This window comes from Homo sapiens, chromosome 6 (assembly GCF_000001405.40).
Source record: "Homo sapiens chromosome 6, GRCh38.p14 Primary Assembly".
In the NCBI taxonomy this organism is placed as follows: domain Eukaryota; kingdom Metazoa; phylum Chordata; class Mammalia; order Primates; family Hominidae; genus Homo; species Homo sapiens.
In genome coordinates this window covers 112,166,178-112,185,405 of record NC_000006.12, presented here as the reverse complement: position 1 = coordinate 112,185,405, position 19,228 = coordinate 112,166,178, and the positions used below count along the sequence as shown (strand labels likewise).

The following is a 19,228-nucleotide window of genomic DNA, read 5'->3' as shown; positions in this document are numbered from 1 at the left end:
TACATTTTTTAAAACCTGGTGTGCCCATTGACTATTCTCAAAACACATTCTTCTGCAGACAAAATTGTCAGAAAGAGAAAACCAATACGCCCTAAGAAAGATACAAATCAACAATGCTGAGAACACGATGAAAAGCCTTCTGTCTGACGTAGAGGAATTAGTTGAAAAGGTACGTATGTATGTATTCAGTTTCTGGGACAGCCTTCAAAGAAAGGATTTAGCTGATGTGAGGCTGGCTGGTCACAAACGACTGAGGCTTAACACAGCCCAGAAAAAATGCAGTGACCCATGTGCCTTAAAATAAATCAAGACCAGACCTGTGGAGAAAGTTAACATACTCAGTCTCTACCGTCTCCTCTCGTTTTGATTGTTTTTCTTGAAAAGCTATGTTTGTGGAGAATTTTCTGTGTATTTGCGGTGGGTTGATACGGTTGATTTGTTTAATTAGGATGGTCATTCAGGTGTTTGCCAAGGCATCTTATGACTAAGAGCTACAGAGCATCCAGAATTAAAATTTATTATATAGAATATAAAATTTAAATATTGGTTAAAGTATACATTAAATGATAAATGGAAAGAAAGGGAATTGTCCTGAGAAAGCAATTTCGCTCTTTGGCAGGGAAAAAACCACTTTCAACCATCACTTTATACCACAGACTAAAATAAATTAGCCCGTTTAAAGAGTTGAGTATAAATCTCAAATCCACAAGAAAATAGAACAAACTACTTATTAAATCTTCAAAGGGAATAACAGAACACTTAAATACAACATAAAGAATTTCAATAAAAAGATAGATTTGACAAGATAAAATTTCAAATATCCAATAAAACAACTAAATAAACAAAAAAGACAACTAGACAGAGAAAAATATTGAGAAAAATACAACTTGTAAAAGCTGTCAGGAATTAACAGGAAAAACATTAAAACATGAGCAGAGTCAATGTGAAAGGCTATTCAACGCACTCCGCAACAGCCTAATGGAAAAACATCCATCCATGTGCTATACTAATTTTACAAACTAAGTCACGAGGCACCATATTTAGCATATTAGAATGTTTAACACAGTTTTTTTTTTTTTTTCTAATGATATTCCACCAGTACTGGCCAGAGTACTTCAGAATTGCCGCTTTCCAAAACTGGTAGTTGACATTATAAACAATTCTCATGATCAACAAAAATTTTAAAAAAATAAAATAACAATAGTATTCTCTTTTGACCTTGGACCCCAAACCCTTTAAGAGATTATCATGAAAATTGTGTCCCTAGTTCCCGGCAATGGCACATATTAATCCAACCACTAGTGCTTGAAGAGCAGTGAAATCTCTTAAATAGTAAAGGAAATACCAAGAAATAAATATTTGTGGAAACTCATTGTTACTTCATGTTGGTATCAGATATGGTTGAAACTTGCTAAAACTATCTTAATTCTTTTTTCTTTTTTTTTTTTTTTTTTTGAGATGGAGTCTCGCTTTGTTGCCCAGGCTGGAGTGCAGTGGCGTGATCTCGGCTCACTGCAGCCTCCGCCTCCCGGGTTCCAGTGATTCTCCTGCCTCAGCCTCCTGGGTAGCTGGGATTACAGGCACACACCACCACGCCTGGCTAATTTTTGTATTTTTAGTAAAGACAGAGTTTCACCATGTTAGCCAGGCTGGTCTCAAACTCTTGACCTCAGGTGATCAGCTCACCTCAGCCTCCCAAAGTGCTAGGATTACAGGCATGAACCACCACGCCCAGCCTTAATTCTTTCTTGAGGAAAGAATTTTCAAGAAAACATCTGAGGAAATGTTTTCACCAAGATTAGCTCCTCCCACAGCCCAGGCAGAATTCCTGATCCTTTTGTTGTACAATTTCCCCACTTCTAATGTAAGCTAAATGCAGGCTTTCGTGGAGAGGAAATAATGTACGCTTGAAAGTTAACATCACAGTAGAAAAGGCTCCCGGACAAGAAGGGCAGACCACCAACACAGGAGGTTGATGATAAAGCTACTAGGAACTTTCACCCAGCTGTTTCCATCTATTTTTATTGAATATAATGTTCTGACCACAGTCCTGATGGTGCAAAAACCTGCTGAAACATTTCAAAACAAATGCCCAGGGCTGGTCTTAATGACTTTTTAAGCATTCTTCAAGCCCTTGCTCTAGAAAAGTCCATGACTGATTCTTAGATTTAAGGAAAGCTGTGTCTTAGAAAGCCTTCTATCAAGAAAGTAACTAATATTTGGCTTTAAATAGAGTAAAGGAGTTCATTGTGTATAAAAATCAGTAATATTGCCCCTTGAACTTGATAAGTAATACCACTTTTTGCAAATTACCTGCCACATGGATTTCATGTGACCCAAATCTCACAAGTTACATCCACCTAGCTACGGGTTTTGTCTGAACTTCCCTTTCTAAATTCTCCAGCCTTCTACTGGGAAGTCCTACAGCCCTTTCCCACCACTTATGTCTGGGATTCCCCTAAAGGATGCCCATCCATCTGTGTTCATAAATACCCAGTGCTCAAAAGATGCTCCCTTTGGTGCTGCTGATCTTGTCTGCAATGAAAATTCCAAAGATCGTGCCAAGATTCTACTTTTCCATGTTCCCAGAGCCACTGTGCTCAAGGTCAGAGTGTCACTGGGCTACAAGCAGAGGTGAGATGTGGCCCTCTCCCAATCTCAGTGCTGCCCCTCACCATCTGGATCTTGAAGGTCCACTGCAGAGCCCAGAGTTACAAAGCACAGTCTCCAAGGGCGGCTCAGGAGGTACTGCACCATCTCCTCCACTTCTACTCCTTGAACCACAGCAGAAGCTACCTGAATGACAACTCATGCAGAGAGACCCACAGGACTAAAAGGAAAGTAGGCTATCTCCAAGCATCAAAAGCATCTGAACCTCATCTCTGGTCCTGCCAAAAAGGCAGGAGAAAATTAAGTACAGTTGGCCCTCTGTATTCATAGATTCAATCATGGCTTAAAAATATTTGGAAAAATTCCACAAAGTTCCAAAACGCAAAATACAAATTTACCATATGCTGAGTATTACTTTGAATCCATATGAACGAAGTGATGTATAGGCATTGCATTAGGTATTAGAGGTAATTTAGATATAATATATATAGGGGGATGTGCATAGGTTATAGTATTGCAAATACTACACCATTCTATGTAAGAAACTTGAACAACCATGAATTTTGGTATCTGTGGGGTCCTGGAACCAATCTCCCATGGATGCTGAGGGATAACTGTTTACATTTCTATTCCAGAAGCATTATTGAACATCTGTATATAATATTTATTTATTTATTTATTTATTTATTTATTTATTTTCAGACAGAGTCTCGCTCTGTCATCTAGGCTGGTGTGCAGTGGCGCAATCTCGGCTCACTGCAACCTCTGCCTCCTGGGTTCAAGCAATTCTCCTGCCTCAGCCTCCTGAGTAGCTGGGATTACAGGCATGTGCCACCACGTCCGGCTACTTTTTGTATTTTTAGTAGAGATGGGGCTTCACCATGTTGGTCAGGTTGGTCTCAAATTCCTGACCTCGTGATCCACCCGCCTCGGCCTCCCAAAGTGCTGGAATTACAGGCGTGAGCCACCGCGCCCGGCCTGTGACAGTTAGTGTGCTAGGTGCTAGGTATCCTGAAATATAATAAGGCCCTGTTTTCAAGATGCTTCAGTCTAGCAGGGAAACAGATAAGTAAAAACATAATTATGATACAGCATTTAATAAGAGAAACATGGTACAGGCTAAACGGTAACTCTAAGGAAGAAATAGTGAAATATTTTGGCATGGGTACACTAGGAAAGGCTTCTCAGAGAAGGTGAGTATTGGCCTGTATATTGAGAATGAGTAGGAGTTTATCAGATACTCCCAAGCAAGGGGTAAGTACTATGAGAACAGATAGATGTGAAGCAGCGTGCTAAGTTCTTGGGACTGGAACTGTGGCCTTGTGGAAGATTCATTGTAAGGCAGAGAGAGGAGGAGATAATGCTGAAGAAGCTGTCAGAGGCCCAATTGTGAAGAACCTTCCCAAACACGCTCGTGAACATGGGGACTTCAGCCTGTGGACTCTGGAAGTCATTCAGGTATTTACCCAGAACAATGAGCTGATTAGATTTGCACTTTAGAAACGTCCCTCTGCAGTGTGGATGATAGACTAGCCAGTGAAGACTGACAATAGGGGCACTGCTTAGGAGACCGCCACAGTGGTCTAGAGAAGAGAGCAGTGGGTTGCTGTCTTGCCTTCATTTGAAAAGAATTTGCACAGAACAAGGATGAACTGAGACTGTGGTCATGGAAAAGAGGAAGAGAGGCCAGAGTGGCAGGTGGAATGAAACAGACTTGGTGACCAGTTGGAGGTGAGAAATGGCAAAGAGAGAAGCTCCATCCTGAGACGTGGATGACTAAGACTACGAACACGAATGGATTACTCTGGACATTTTAAAAGTGAAATATCTGTGATGGCACAGAGGGCAGATAGAGATGTGAATCTGCAATTCAGAGGGTAATCAGGGCTGGAAAGGAATTTAGGGTCATTAATGTTTAGGAGGTAGGCAGAAGTAGATATTACTGTACAAATTCTGAAGTAGCACACCAATATTCCTACTATTGGTTTGTCCAGGACTGTTGCTGTTTATGCTTGTGTCCCAGAATAATTACTAAAAGTTCTCCCTTTCATGTGCAAAAATGCCCCAGGTTGAACCATAAAATATATGATCACCCTAGATATTGGTTATCATCCTCACGTCATCTACCTTTTATGTACTATATTACCAAGACATCCTTGCCACTTTTATGTCAAATATGTACAAGAAGAATTTTCTGTTGAGATGAGCAAATGACTAATACATTTGTAATGTAAACCACCAACTAGTTTACAGTTACAAGGTAATTTTTTAATTTCAGCTTTTCTTAAACCGAGGCGCACCTGTTTTCCCACGTGCCTATATCATTATTTTCCTTCCACAGGCAAAGTTACAGGAAAAATAAACATTCATATAAGCCATCACTATAGGTTCAATTCAGTCATCTTACAATGTAAAGGAATAGATGTTCCTCTTTGCCACTGATCCAGTCATATATACAGTATATCAATAGCTATATATCTCTATCTACCTGTATCTTAGCGCCCTCTGGCGTTTGTCAAAAAGAAGAGGTTTTCTTATAGGCATGACATTTTTCAGCTGTCTCTCATCACTTCAACTGAAGTTTCCATATCAAAAAATAATAAGTTTAATGACATAGGAATAACAATAGAGCTTTACTCTGAAGTATCAAGCCAAAGTAAAAACTAGGGGTGTTGTGCTTTGCAAATATAACTTAAACTGGATCAAAGATCAACTCATTAAAAATTCTAAAATTTTAAATGCTTGTGTCCGTATTTTTTAAAAGCAGGGAGGAGTAATATTAAGATTTATTATAGTTTCTGCATATTTAATTTTAAAATGACCACAAATACTGTTTTTCTGGAAAGCACTGGAACAAGCCAAGAAGAAGACTGGAATTGCAGGAAGGAGTATAATGACTCAGAAGACAGTGTCCATTCAGAGAGCCCACAGTTTATGAAGGGACTGATGACCACATTGCCGCTGCACAGTGGGCTCTGTGACTACAGGAGCCTTGCTCTGTAGGGAGGGGATTACCCTTCTCCAATAAAAAGCCTCTGGGCATGTGTTTGTTATAATACCATTTCTGCATTCTCTTCCTTGACCATCTGAGAGGGCCACTTGCTTGGGTTATTCCTGGAGAGTGTAAAAACGTTCCCGGTAAAATCATGGCATAATCCTCTGGGTAGAATACTGGATGAAAGGAGAGAAGTTTAAAACAACCACTTCCCTATCCTCAGGAAACTCTGTATAATGGGTCTACCAGCGCTCTGTGTGGCAGATCACCCCACAGCTCCTTCACGTATTGTAGCAGTTTTTAAAGAGCTGAGCCAAAAAAGCAACAGACAAGGCAAGTGGGCATTCGACCAAATGCCAGACTAAAGAACTTCTCTTCCTCTTAAATATAACCCATAGATCAGTCCTTCAAATCCCAAAAGTAAGTACATGTCGCCCATGCTGTGCATACAGGGTGGTGTCCTAGCCTTGAATCATTTCTGTGCTCTTAGATCACATTCTGTCCTTCACCACGCACACAAAAACACACACATACACACAGACGCCCACACAAACCCTTTCTTCAGAGGCCACATTTGAGTTGGGCATTATTTTTGACAAATACTGTGTGAGATCTCTGAAACAGAATCTCCCAAGTTGAGAGAATGGAATCAGCTTCTCGGAGAAGAGCTCCATTCACGCTGAGCCAAATCTGCTTGAGCAGTTATTTGTACACAAGTGCCATCAATGTTGATGGGAATTTGGAATGAAGCACTGAAAACAGCATGTTAGGCCAGTGAGAATAATCCTTGAAATCTCTGTGGTAATTCAATTTCAGCAGTGGTTGGACCACCCAGGAGCCACTGGAAGCATGGTGCATTTCAAGGTCTGCCTATTTTTTCAACAATTTTCTCTTTGAAACTTTAAGCTCTTCAGTCAGCACAATGTCAAAATGATAAGCAGACATGGGCAATTTTCTAGTCCAGCAACTTGAGATACAGTAAAAATTTGAAGAATAAATTACATATGAAAGGCAGTTGGTTGGGACTGAACTGTGACTGATGATATAGGAATAGCACCAGATTTTATAGCATTCTGTCATTCTAAAACTGGCCATCAAGTGAAGTAACTTAGGAATGGAAAACCAAACATTGTATGTCCTAACTGATACGTGGGAGCTAAGCTATGAGGACGCAGAGGCATAAGAATGATACAATGGACTTTGGGGACTTGCAGGGAAGAGTGGAGTGGGGAGGGATAAAAGACTACAAATATGGTGCAGTGTATACTGCTCGGGTGATGGGTGCACCAAAGTCTAACAAATCACCACTAAAGAACTTACTCATGTAACCAAATACCACCTATACCCCAATAACTTACGGAAAAATTAAAAAATTTTTTAAAAGTAAAACTGGCCATCACATTACCTTTCATGCATTATTTTTGGGATGATTTCATGTGTTATAGAACTTTCACATGCCAGGAAGATTTACGTTTAGGAAATACATTATGCCCACCCACCCCTATCTGTGCTTATACAACATTCTTTTCTCATACATTTAATCTAGCCTTTATACGGATTATTTGTAGGAAAATCAAGCCTCCAGAAAAGGACAACTTGTTCAGAAGGAAAGCATGGACACCATTAACCACGCAAGTCAGCTGGTAGAGCAAGCCCATGATATGAGGGATAAAATCCAAGGTAAATATATTCTCTTCTGGTTCAGTTTAATATCAAGGAAACACTTATGTTATTAACATCAGTAGGCATAATGGCTACTGTTAAGTGTTTGCTGTGTGCCAGGAACTTGTTGGTACAGTATTATAGGTTTAAACTTGTATAAGGTCTTCATTTCAAGTTTGTTTATCTGGAATTTCTGAGCACTCATCCCTACTTACTATCTGTTGATGTTCAATAATCAATGTATAAAATCATTCCCTTTTTAGGCATTTCACAGAATAACCTTCTGACAGAGGAGATTGCATGCTGTGGTGTCTCTAAAATGCAAGAGTTGAGTAGGAGTCACAGATTTTTCTCAGTTATTTGCAGAGAAAACATTGCTTTTAGAATGCCAGTAAACTATCAGTTGACCCAAATCATCACAAGCTCTTTCTATGATGGGCTTTCCCAAAGGCCAATCAGGCAACATGCTTGGGCCCCAACCCAGAAGAAAAGGAAGGAGCGGGGCTGTGGGAGATTTCTTTGTCCTAAAGCATTGTGAATGATTGTACCTTCCCTCTTGGAGGTTTGCTTAATTTGTGCTCTCACTTGCAATACATGCAGGATAATCTTGAAGACTATTTTAATAGTGCACTAATAGTTGGCCTTCAATTTACCAGCAGAAAACAGCAGATTTCATCTGTTATAGGATAAAGAAGATTTCCTTGGGTGAGAGTTTGCTAAGATCCAGTATCTGCATTTCCATAGTTTTTATTATACTATATATTAAGGGCTGGATGACAACACCAAGTGCATCCCAGGGCACAGTAGCGATAAAGGGACCCACAGTGGAAGATTCATGTCTTTATACTGGGGCATATTGCATGCAAAGGGATACATAAAAGCAAGATTAATCATTTGTCATGTTTCCTTTGATGTCTATTATAAACAATAAAAGCAAATGACATGCAATCCAAACACTCCTCACTCACATACTCTCTCATGGCTCATATTTTTGAGTTTCCTGACAAAATATTCTTTTTCTATAGCATTTTAGAGTTACTATTGATTTGTTCAAAAAGTGAGATTGAACCTAGAAGATAACATGACCTTATCCAACTAAGAAATAAATGCCTCTTTAGGCAGCAAATGCCAGGACCCTAGTAAGCCATTCAGAGAAAATAATTCACCTTTGCTATTATAACCCATGTTTTGATTCAAAAGTGTTTCATTTGCAAAGGATCTGAACCCTCTTATTTGATCCTTTAAGCATGGGAAAAGATGAAAAAATGCAAAGGAAATGTAAATGGGAAACAATAACTTCTAACAGCTTTTAAATTTTTAAAATAATGTGTGAATCGTCTCCAAAAACCAAAGGCAAAAATACTATTGTCTGTATTTCCCTTTTCTAATCTATACTGCAAGTAGCTAAACTAAAACAGGCCAAAATTATAAATATAAGACTTGCACCAAAATGCCAGAGAATTCAGCATCACAAGTGCTAGAGCTGAGGAAAAAATATTTACATTTAGTTTATTTCGCAGGTTAATATTTTAGACTTTACTTGAGGAGTGGATGTTTAATCCCTTTATATAATTCTGGAATGCTGTAAGACACCAATTACATGTCATTCCTTATTCCCAACCATCTCTAAAATAACCGCTGGCGACCTTCAAGCTATTATCCACATAAAATACAACCCCTTATCCTGGTATGATTTATGTGACACCAATGTTTGTTTACCCATCTTGTCTGGTCAACCACATAGATCATAGTAAACCACAGACACGCAATTTCATTTATGCCAGCAAGATAAAATGCTTCCTCTTGGAGCTGCAGTAGAACAAGGTGACAATTACATACCTTCCTTCTCATCATATGTAGTAGGAATGAGGGATTCAAAGACGTATTTCAGTCTGCTAATATTTAGACAGGTCACCTAATCCCTTTGAGCCTCAGTGGTCCCTCCAGTTCTAAAATTCTCCACCTGACTTATGGAAGTGGGGTGAAAATGACCTAGAGTAGTCACGCTCTAGAAGGCAAACAGCAACTGCCAAAAAATAACTATCAATGAGCAAAAGCTCACATCATATTATAACAAACCCTCATTTTGTATTTAGCCTGTGAAATAATTTGAAAGACTCATTTGGACAGCTATCAATATGCTCTCATTTGGGCTTAAAGCTTTGATCAAATCTTTGTCTAAAATACAATTAATAACTCCACACATTAATAATCTCACCCATGACAGGAGTGATCTCTGAGCATTTTCTCCAAGTTAAGTATGTTATATAAAAGGCTGATCAAAGACTGTAGATTTGGATGCCTTGAATATCAAGTTACAATATTTAACGCTAAATATTAGCATTCTCAAATCACTGTGGAAACCAGATGAGGATGAGAGCAGAGCAGGCTTTGCATTAGCCAGTTCCCATTCTGAAGACCCCGCATGGGAAGCAGAGAAGAGTGGTTTCCTCGTGTCTTTCTCCTTCGTGGAATAGATGATGAGCTTCCATGCTCGCTGGGATTCACAGCATGAACACTAGCACGCTGCTTTTGAATGAGTCTCTCTTTCCATTTCAGGATCAGCCCTGCCCTTTGCCCACAGCCCTTGCTCCCTTGCATTTCTAGTGCCTGGTCATCTCTCCCTGCTGCCTTGTTTCACCATGTTCTTCCTTTCAGAGATCAACAACAAGATGCTCTATTATGGGGAAGAGCATGAACTTAGCCCCAAGGAAATCTCTGAGAAGCTGGTGTTGGCCCAGAAGATGCTTGAAGAGATTAGAAGCCGTCAACCATTTTTCACCCAACGGGAGCTCGTGGATGAGGAGGCAGATGAGGCTTACGAACGTAGGTGTATTCCTCTCATAGCTGACCCAGCACATGTTTGCCCTCTTTGTGGGTCCAATAGCAGACATTAAACCTAGGGCAACATATAATCAAAGCAACCAATTTCCAGTGTTCAGAACTATTTAGAATCTACATGTGGCCACAGGGAATCATTCAGGACAACTTGACTTTATAACCAAGATTTTTAGATTCAGGCCCAATTCTGAGCCCCTGAGAAACAACTGAGATGCCACAAGGAATCTATAGCAGTTGGTGAAAAACGTATAAAACAGTAGAAGGAAGACTAAAGGAAACCAATTCCCAGAACTACATTTAAAGAAATTTTATTGAGAAGGCAGGAATGCTACAAGGCCAGAAACATTCATGTTGTGAAGACCATGAATGACTTTAATATCTTTTAGCCTCCAGTGGAAATTTAACATTTCCTTCAGCAATGAGTGTAGGCACCAAATCACAGTAGTATTATTGAATCTATCACTTGATCACTGTATCAGTTATCAATTGCTATTATAACAAGGCCCAGGCCGGGCGTGGTGGCTCATGCCTGTAATCCCAGCACTTTGGGAGGCCAAGGTGGGTGGATCACAAGGTCAGGAGTTCGAGACCAGCCTGGCCAGTGTGGTGAAACCCCATCTCTACTAAAAATACAAAAAATAGCTGGGCGTGGTGGCATGTGCCTGTAGTCCCAGCTACTAGGGAGGCTGAGGCAGGAGAATCGCTTGAACCTGGGAGGCGGAGGTTGCAGTGAGCCAAGATTGCACACTGCACTCCAGCCTGGTGACAGAGTGAGACTCTGTCCCAAAACAAAACAAAACAAAAACCACCCCAAATGTATTCATTTAAAACAATAACCATTTATTGCTCATGCTTTCATGGGTTGGCAATTCAGGCTGGATTCAACCTGGACAGCTCATCTCTGCTCCATGTGACATATATTGGTTGAGCTCACTCAGATGTCTGGGGCTGGCCGGGAAGGCTGGGCCTCTCCCTCCATGTGGGGTCTTAACTCAACAAGGCTAGTCCAGGTTGTTCACATAACGGCAGCTTTAAGAGAGCAAGAATGAAAAGCACACGGTCTCTTAAGCCTAGGCTTGGAGCTCAGCAATGTCATATCCATTTTACTGATCAAGACCAGCCCAGACTCAAGGAGTAGAGAGATAGACTCCACTCTTGATTGGAAGAGCTGCAAACAATTGGTTTAATCTACACAATCAATGGAAGAAATCACAGATTTGCATATTATATTTTAGCTGCTGCTGATATCTCATGACACTATTTAAATTCACCAATAACTCAAAATTATGGTAACTATTAGATCCACCTTTAGATCTTGTTAGTTAAGGGATTAGTAAAGAAGCATATACATTATTATATTACATTTGGTTTTTAAATATATTAGTCTCCTTTTAATTTCTATATATTTTATTGTATGCATTTTAGAACACACTCTAAGAAGCAGTCTGAAGGCTTCATTAGATTACAAAGGGACTAATGACACAAAAAGGGATAAAGGGCAGTAGGTCGTTTTCCTACAACTGTCACTATCAACTTCTGCTAACAATTATTGTGGATACTGTAGAAAGACATTACTGACATACAGGTTTATTATGGTGGCAAATATGTAAAGTCTTAGAAACAGTAAGAACCAAAGAAGAATCTCAGGCCCCAGTTCTGAGTCAGACTCAGAAAGGCTAGAGCTCAGATGTCAGTCAATGCCAGATGTTTCCAAGCTTGTCACCTCCTGTGGAATTTAACAAGACTTCCCTGGAGAAGTGGGACCAATCACATCTCCCACTCGGCCTCCTTCCACCTAGAATGCATTTTCCAACACTTTCTATACTCAGCCAGGAACTTTTGTGTTCTGCTTACAGTGATGGAAGAAAATCTCAACAAGACAAGCTAATATTCCCTGAAGAAAACAGAAATTAACATATTCAACATATTCAACACATGTGCCTTTGAGCAGAGAATAAAAGACACATGCAAAGTTTAAGAATATCATGTCATTGCCATTTAATCTTTTTTCCACCAAAATCATGGTTTGGATTTGACCCAGTGGAGCTAACTAAAAACAGTTGCCTAGAGAAACTACAGAAAATGAGTGGGTATGAACATCATTTTGCCTTATTACCGACAAGATAAGTTTGGTTATTTTTAATAGTAAAAACCATACTATACCCAAGTCCCCTTTACACAGTAAAATTATTAATAATCTGGATAATAATAAGCATAGTATAATGATATGGTTTTCACAAAAAGCACAACCTCTGTGGGAAAACTAATCAAACCCTTCTTTCAACTGACAGTTATCCAGGGACTCCCAAACTCTAAAAAGTAGCATTTTTTACTTCAAATCTAAAAGGTGGAGCTAATTTTGTGAACAATAGCTTCAATCTCCATTGCTAAAGAAGGCATGGCCTGAGAATTTTGCAACTTTGCAAAATGCTGGGAGGAATGGAAGCGAACAGGAGAAAGCCACACTGAGCCTTTATCTCCATTTCTTCCCAGTACTGAGCCAGGCTGAGAGCTGGCAGCGGCTGCACAATGAGACCCGCACTCTGTTTCCTGTCGTCCTGGAGCAGCTGGATGACTACAATGCTAAGTTGTCAGATCTCCAGGAAGCACTTGACCAGGCCCTTAACTATGTCAGGGATGCCGAAGACATGAACAGGGCCACAGCAGCCAGGCAGCGGGACCATGAGGTACAGCGGACACTCACCATCAATGCATTTCAGCATCAGCAGTGTGATGGTACACCAAGAAGGGGCTGTTGATATAAATTTTTTTAAAATATTGGTATAGTTAAATACTTATATTTTAAAATATTGGTGTGTTTTTTGGTGCTATAAATTACTAACTTGTGTGTTCCTAAAATCAAGTTGAAACTAGGATAATTGTCTAGTTCTTGCTTTGATAAGAACGCAGTAGTTCTGATGCTTGTGTCCATGTGTATGGGTCTGTTATTCTTGCAAGTGGGTAAGCAATGCATAGCTTTTTTTATACTGAGAGCACTAGAAGGCCAAAGCATCTCAAAACCATGGGTTCTGGGTATGCATAATTTTTGGAAAGGCACGATAAGCAAATCTCACAGTCTGGCTGGTCAGCAGCTGCAGGGATAAGGAGACTAATTGCCAAGGCCATGCAAATGCAAAGAGGAAGGTGAGGAGGATTCCCAGATGTGATCATAGCTTGCAAAGATGGTCATCTCATGGGGCCAGAATTCGTGCATGCCCACACCTACAAAGCTGAGAACTGGTAGTGGTCATGTGTCCGCTTCAAGCAATGCATGTATTCACAGCCGCCAGCATCAAGAGGGGCCATCTTTTGATAGGATGACACATGCATGTTCAAACATATTTTAAAAGATTAGGGAGAAAAGAATACTGTGAACAAATAGAAACCAATTATGAGCAAATTCACGAATTCGGTTATGTACTATTGTGGCTGGCAAAAGCCACTTAAACTAGGCTCTCTAGCCTGATTTTCAGCCATCATTACCCCTCACTAAGAATCCTTGTAAAATTTCTTCCGTAAAAGTTAATTACACTCATCACCACTGTTTGCTAATGGGAGCAAACCCCTAGCCAATATTTTTTAGAATAATATGGTTGGGATAACTTTTTTTTTTTTTTTTTGCTAAATGAATGCATGATTATCTTATACAATAAAAGTATAACACAAAATACTGTTTTAAGATAGTCGCTGGGACTCTCCTTACCCTTGAAGTGTCCCCCTTTCCCTCCTCCACATCCAGTCAACCGCAGGTTCCTCCCAGGTTTACTATCTGACATGTTTTAGCTCTCTTCCTTCTTTTCCATTCCTCTACAACTTCTCTAGTTCTGGCTTTCATTGTTTCTCAACCAAAACAGTCTCCCCTTCTCTCTCCTCCATTCTTGCGTCCTTCCAAAACATCCTCTCCACCCTGCCAGAGCAGCTCACCTTAGTCACAGTCTGACTGCAACTGCATGTGCTTATCAATCCTCTCATTTCTCCTCATCACCTATAACAGTGCTTTTGACGCTGCAACTTGTGAGCCATTTCGCGGGTTAGAAAATAAGTTTCATGGGTTGTAACCAGTAGTTTAAAAAAAAAAAAAAGGAGAGACAGATAAAAGGAAATGAAATCAAGGGAATAGAAAATATCAAAGTACACATATATAGTAAGGTGTGGTTTCATCACGGTTCTGCCTTATATATGTGTACCAGGTTGCAACGTACAATTCTCTGTTAACCTCTGAAAGACACTATCCTGTGGACAGCCTATGCTCTTTCACGTGGCATTCAGGACTCCCTCTGATCTGACCCTACCAGCCTCCTCAGCCTCACCTCTTACTGTTCTCTGCCTCACACATTAGGTTCAGGCAATATCACACAACCAGTAATCTCACCTGCCTGGAATGGAAACCGCTTTTTCTTTTCTACTCATCTGGCTAACCTCACTTATCCTTTAAGTCTTACCTCAGGCATTACTTCCTCCAGGAGACCTACCCTATACTCCAATCCTGTAACATGTCTTGCACAGCTCTGTTTCTGAATTGTGATCATCTGCTAATGAATCTGTCTTCCCCATTGAACTCAGGGCTCCAAAAAGTAAGGGAATCTGTCTTCTTTATCTTTGAATCATGGAGCATTTAGCACAATGTCTGACACAAAGTAACAACTCAGTAAAAACTGGGTTGATGTAATGAAAACCTTAAGGACTTTCCAATTTGGGGATCCTGTAGTTTTGTCAGATTGTGCCCAAGTTTATTGAAGATGCATTTTCAGTGCTAAGTAATAAGTGATTCTTCTCATCCTGAAAGATTTAAGCCCATACCCCTAGCCTGCAGGATAACACTATTCTACTCCCAAAGAAGATTAAGAGCATTTAAGTAAGACAGAAACAACACTGCAACCTCATGCAACAATTCTCAGGGTTCACCAGTGAAGACCCAGAACTATGTTCCGTACTGCAAGCCCTGAAATGAGAAGTGGACCTGCCAACCCAGACCGGTCCTGGTAGGACAAGGGCAAGCAATGGCCTGCAGGAGATCCCATCCAGACCACAGCTGTGCCCTTAGCCACAGGGAGTAATGTTTATTGCTGAGAAAAAAGCAAGACCTATTATTAATACTACCGATAATGATAAACTGTATTTGGTTCTCATTTTAGATTGTGAGTTCTCGATCTCAGCCAAGTGCTTTGTCTTCTACATAGCCTTGTGCTAGAGAACACATATGTTGTGTGTTAACATGTTCCATTCTCTTCTGATTTATTTTTAGGAATAGATCTTACCTCCAAAAGTCCTTTGTAAATTTTATAATCAGGAAGGGGAGCACACAGTCAATGAACTGAGAACCAAAGTATCTGCTTAGGCACAAACCAGCCGATTTGCTGGTGGTTGGTAAATGTCAGGGTGTGTGCAAAACACAGTGGACTTTGTAAATGTAACAAGCAAGAGGACAGTGTTGCCTATATGAAGAGACTTCAGTTCTAAAAGTGAATGAATGCCAGAATAGCTTTTAAATAAACTTATACAGATTTTTTTAAACTTCATGCATATGGCTACCAAAAATTTGGCATTTTTGATTCAGACAGATGGTAGTGCTCATTTTAACTTTACCAAACAAACCCTTCTACTGCATACAAATGAACAGCATGAGCAAGATTTCAGGAAGGGAACAGCATAGCGTTGAGGAATTTGAAAGCCCTGCTCCACCTCAGTTCTCCTTCCTCTTCCTGATCTTTGGATCTGGCATTAGCCACAGTTGCACCCCTTTTGCCCCCATCTCTTCCCTCAGTGACTTCACCCAATCTCACTGCTTCAGTCCTTAAAAGGGATTTATTTGTGGGTCTGCATCCTTATTCAAAACTGAGCCCCACAGCACAACTTTCATATTTGTGTCTTTCTGCAGGAATAGCCACGTGGATTAGCCTTGCTATTACCTGCTGAAAACCAACACCTTTTTTCCTCCAATTTCCTTTCCTATTTTCTCATTCTTTCTTATTCTTGTCCAGGGTTCTCCTCTCCCCTCCAAGTCCCCAGGGTCTAAGTCAGCCCCTCCTGCTCTGGGTTCTCCAGTGATTTCTCCATTCCTTTGTGTCTCACTTGTGGATATTTTGGTCTGCCCCCTGCCTAGGGTCCCAGCTTCTCTCCCCTTGAGATTACTGCCAGATTCGATTTCAAGGTATCTCTAAATGTATAGAAACTATGTAACCAACCTTCATCAAATGCCTTCAATGGCTTCCTACTTAAGAAAGGTAAATTCCTCAGCCACCCATGATCTGAGTCCACCTACTGTTCCAGTGAATTTCTTGACTTTCCTACAAACTCTGCCTCTTAGCCACTGGAGACCGTGCACATTTTCTACTTATTGCCTTTGCTCATGGTGTCTCCTTTGCTCATCTCTCTCATCCATGAGTACTTCTGTCTAGCCTTTAAGCCAGGTTAAGTGTCTCCCTCTGTAGAGTGCCTCGCCTACTCATTCCAGTCCAGTGGTTCCTGCAGTCTTATATCCTTTTGAGAATTCAGTGAAAACTATGGAATATGCAGGCACACAGACACACACACAGACACACATGCACATACACACACATATATATCCCTGCCATGAGAAAAATGTGCACTTGTTCGCATGTATAAGATTGACAGGCAAGTTCAGGTAGTCCACCTTAACCCTGGGTTAAGAATGCTGGCTCGGTGGCTCACGCCTGTAATCCCTGCACTTTGGGAGGCCAAGGCAGGTGGATCACCTGAGGTCAGGAGTTCAAGATCAGCCCAGTCAACATGGTGAAACCCTGTCTCTACTAAAAATACAAAAATTAGCTGGGCATGGTGGTGGGCACCTGTAATACCAGCTACTTGGGAGGCTGAGACAGGAGAATTGCTTGAGTCCGGGAGGCAGCGGTTGCAGTGAGCTAAGATTGTGCCATTGCACTCTAGCCTGAGTGACAAGAGTGAAACTCCACCTCAAAAAAAAAAAAAAAAAGAACACTAGCTGCCAGAAGGAGTCCTTCCTTCCTCTCTACTGGTGCAGCCATTGGTTGTATCACTGGAATGATCACCAGGCTTCATCACACTAAGCATATATTCTTCTATGTTCCTGTCTAGGAGTCACTCCTTTTTTTTTTTTTTTTGAGACGGAGTCTCGCTCTGTTGCCCAGGCTGGAGTGCAGTGGCGCGATCTCAGCTCACTGCAAGCTCTGCCTCCCGGGTTCGTGCCATTCTCCTGTCTCAGCCTCCTGAGTAGCTGGGACTACAGGCACCCGCCACCACGCCCGGCTAATTTTTTGTATTTTTAGTAGAGATGGGGTTTCACCAGGATGGTCTCCATCTCCTGACCTTGTGATCTGCCTGCCTCGGCCTCCCAAAGTGCTGGGATTACAGGCGTGAGCCACCGCGCCTGGTGGAGTCACTCTTGATTGCTGAATGCATAACTCTGTGTGTGTGTGTGTGTGTGTGTGTGTGTGTGTGTGTGTGTGTGTGTGTGTGTGATGGTATGCATCTAGTCTAACCCCACTAGACCGTGAGCATCCAAGGGCAGCACTCCAGCCTTGCACAAATTGTATCTTCCTAGCACCAAACACAATAACTTGCATTTGTTACATCTATTGATGAACAGATGGATGGACAAATGCTTGGAGCACTGTCAAGTAATACAGATTTGATTTATGTACACTGGTTCTTCATGATCACAAATACTCTTATTTCATATTAACTTGGACTTCTAAATTACTAAACACTACTTTCACCATTCTTTTGCATACTTTTGCAAAATATCATGAAATTTTAATTCCTTCCAACAAAATTTAAAATCCAATGTTTTATTTATAGTCTTTCCTACGACAAATAGATTTGAATGGATCTGACCTTACTGGAATTTGACTCTGTGTTTTAGAAAACAAACTTAAGTGGGTTTGTTGTTGTTGTTTTGAGACACAGTCTTACTCTGTCACCCAGGCTGGAGTACAGTGGCACAATCTTAGCTCACCACAACCTCCACCTCCTGGGTTCAAGCAATTCTGTTGCCTCAGCCTCCCAAGTAGCTGGGATTACAGGCATGTGCCACCACACCCGGCCCAAATTTAATTGTTTTAATTTTACATTTCACTATTACACCTACAGCATGGGCTAGAAAAGAATAATCCCCAAATTTCAGTTATCATACAAAACCAAAAAAGTACCCACAGAGCTTAATCATTTTGACATGTACCAACAGTAGCCATACAACTAGCAATTACATTATTTTGTCATCTTACCTCTATCTCCAAAGGGTAACAGAATGATTAAAAACTTATCAGATGAACATGAGATTGTATAGTTTAAAAGTAAGTAAAATACTCCTTCAAAAGCACTGTTTAGGGATTACTATATACCCAAGCTTTACCTTCCCAGGACTGTTTTTTGTTGTTTTTGTTGCTGTTGCTGTTGCTGTTGTTGTTGTTGACCGTGGAACTTTTTCTATTTTTTTGCATATGTAATATGCACAGTGAAGCATGCTGAATAGTGACAATTGTGTCATTTTCATAATTATCAGTTTTCAACATTTTACTTTGTTCAAGTTGACCACTTTTCTGTGGAAATATCTTTATTTGTTTCAAAGCTAATTTTATTCATTTCTGTCTAATGCTATATACGGTAAGTGGGAGAAACTCATTAACTTGAAGCATATTGTTTTTCATCTACTGCAAATAAGCTTATATACAGTGCTATTAGCACACAGCTTTGAAGTTTGTCTCTGACTTCAGGGTGTTAGCAGTGTTCTCCCGCAGTCACCCAGAGAGAACTTACAGAAGGGGTAAAGAACACTGTAAAAGGAAAACAGTTCTGTGAGAGGTAAATAATACCAACCTTTTTTCAACTCCCTTCTTTTACATATTTTAATACACATATTTTACAGTATTGCTTTTGCTGTATAACTCCCAGTCTTTGTAAAGATAAGAATAATTGATCTCAGATAGTCACACTGTATTAGGCTTGATGGATATTCAGGGAAAATTGTTTCTTTAAAAATGTTCTTGCATTAAGAGGATGTTCAAATGTGATTCTTTTCTGTCTCTAGACCTACACCTACCCCATAACAACATATCTGGAGAAGATGGGTTCCATTCTTCCTTTTCTTTAAGCCAGAAAAGACTGCAGGGAGTAAGAAAGGAC

General features: G+C 40.4%; 1 protein-coding gene across 9 annotated transcripts in view; it reads left to right on the top strand.

Moving 5' to 3' along the window:
* LAMA4 (laminin subunit alpha 4) overlaps nt 1-19,228 on the top strand; it is a 147,055-nt gene that overhangs the window by 69,580 nt on the left and 58,247 nt on the right. For all 9 annotated transcript variants that reach the window (XM_047418770.1, XM_047418769.1, XM_017010854.3 and 6 more), the window contains exons 9-12: nt 59-169; nt 7,174-7,285; nt 9,926-10,093; nt 12,602-12,795. In XM_047418770.1, the coding sequence (XP_047274726.1) occupies nt 59-169; nt 7,174-7,285; nt 9,926-10,093; nt 12,602-12,795 (585 nt within the window). The remainder of the gene's footprint in view (nt 1-58; nt 170-7,173; nt 7,286-9,925; nt 10,094-12,601; nt 12,796-19,228) is intronic.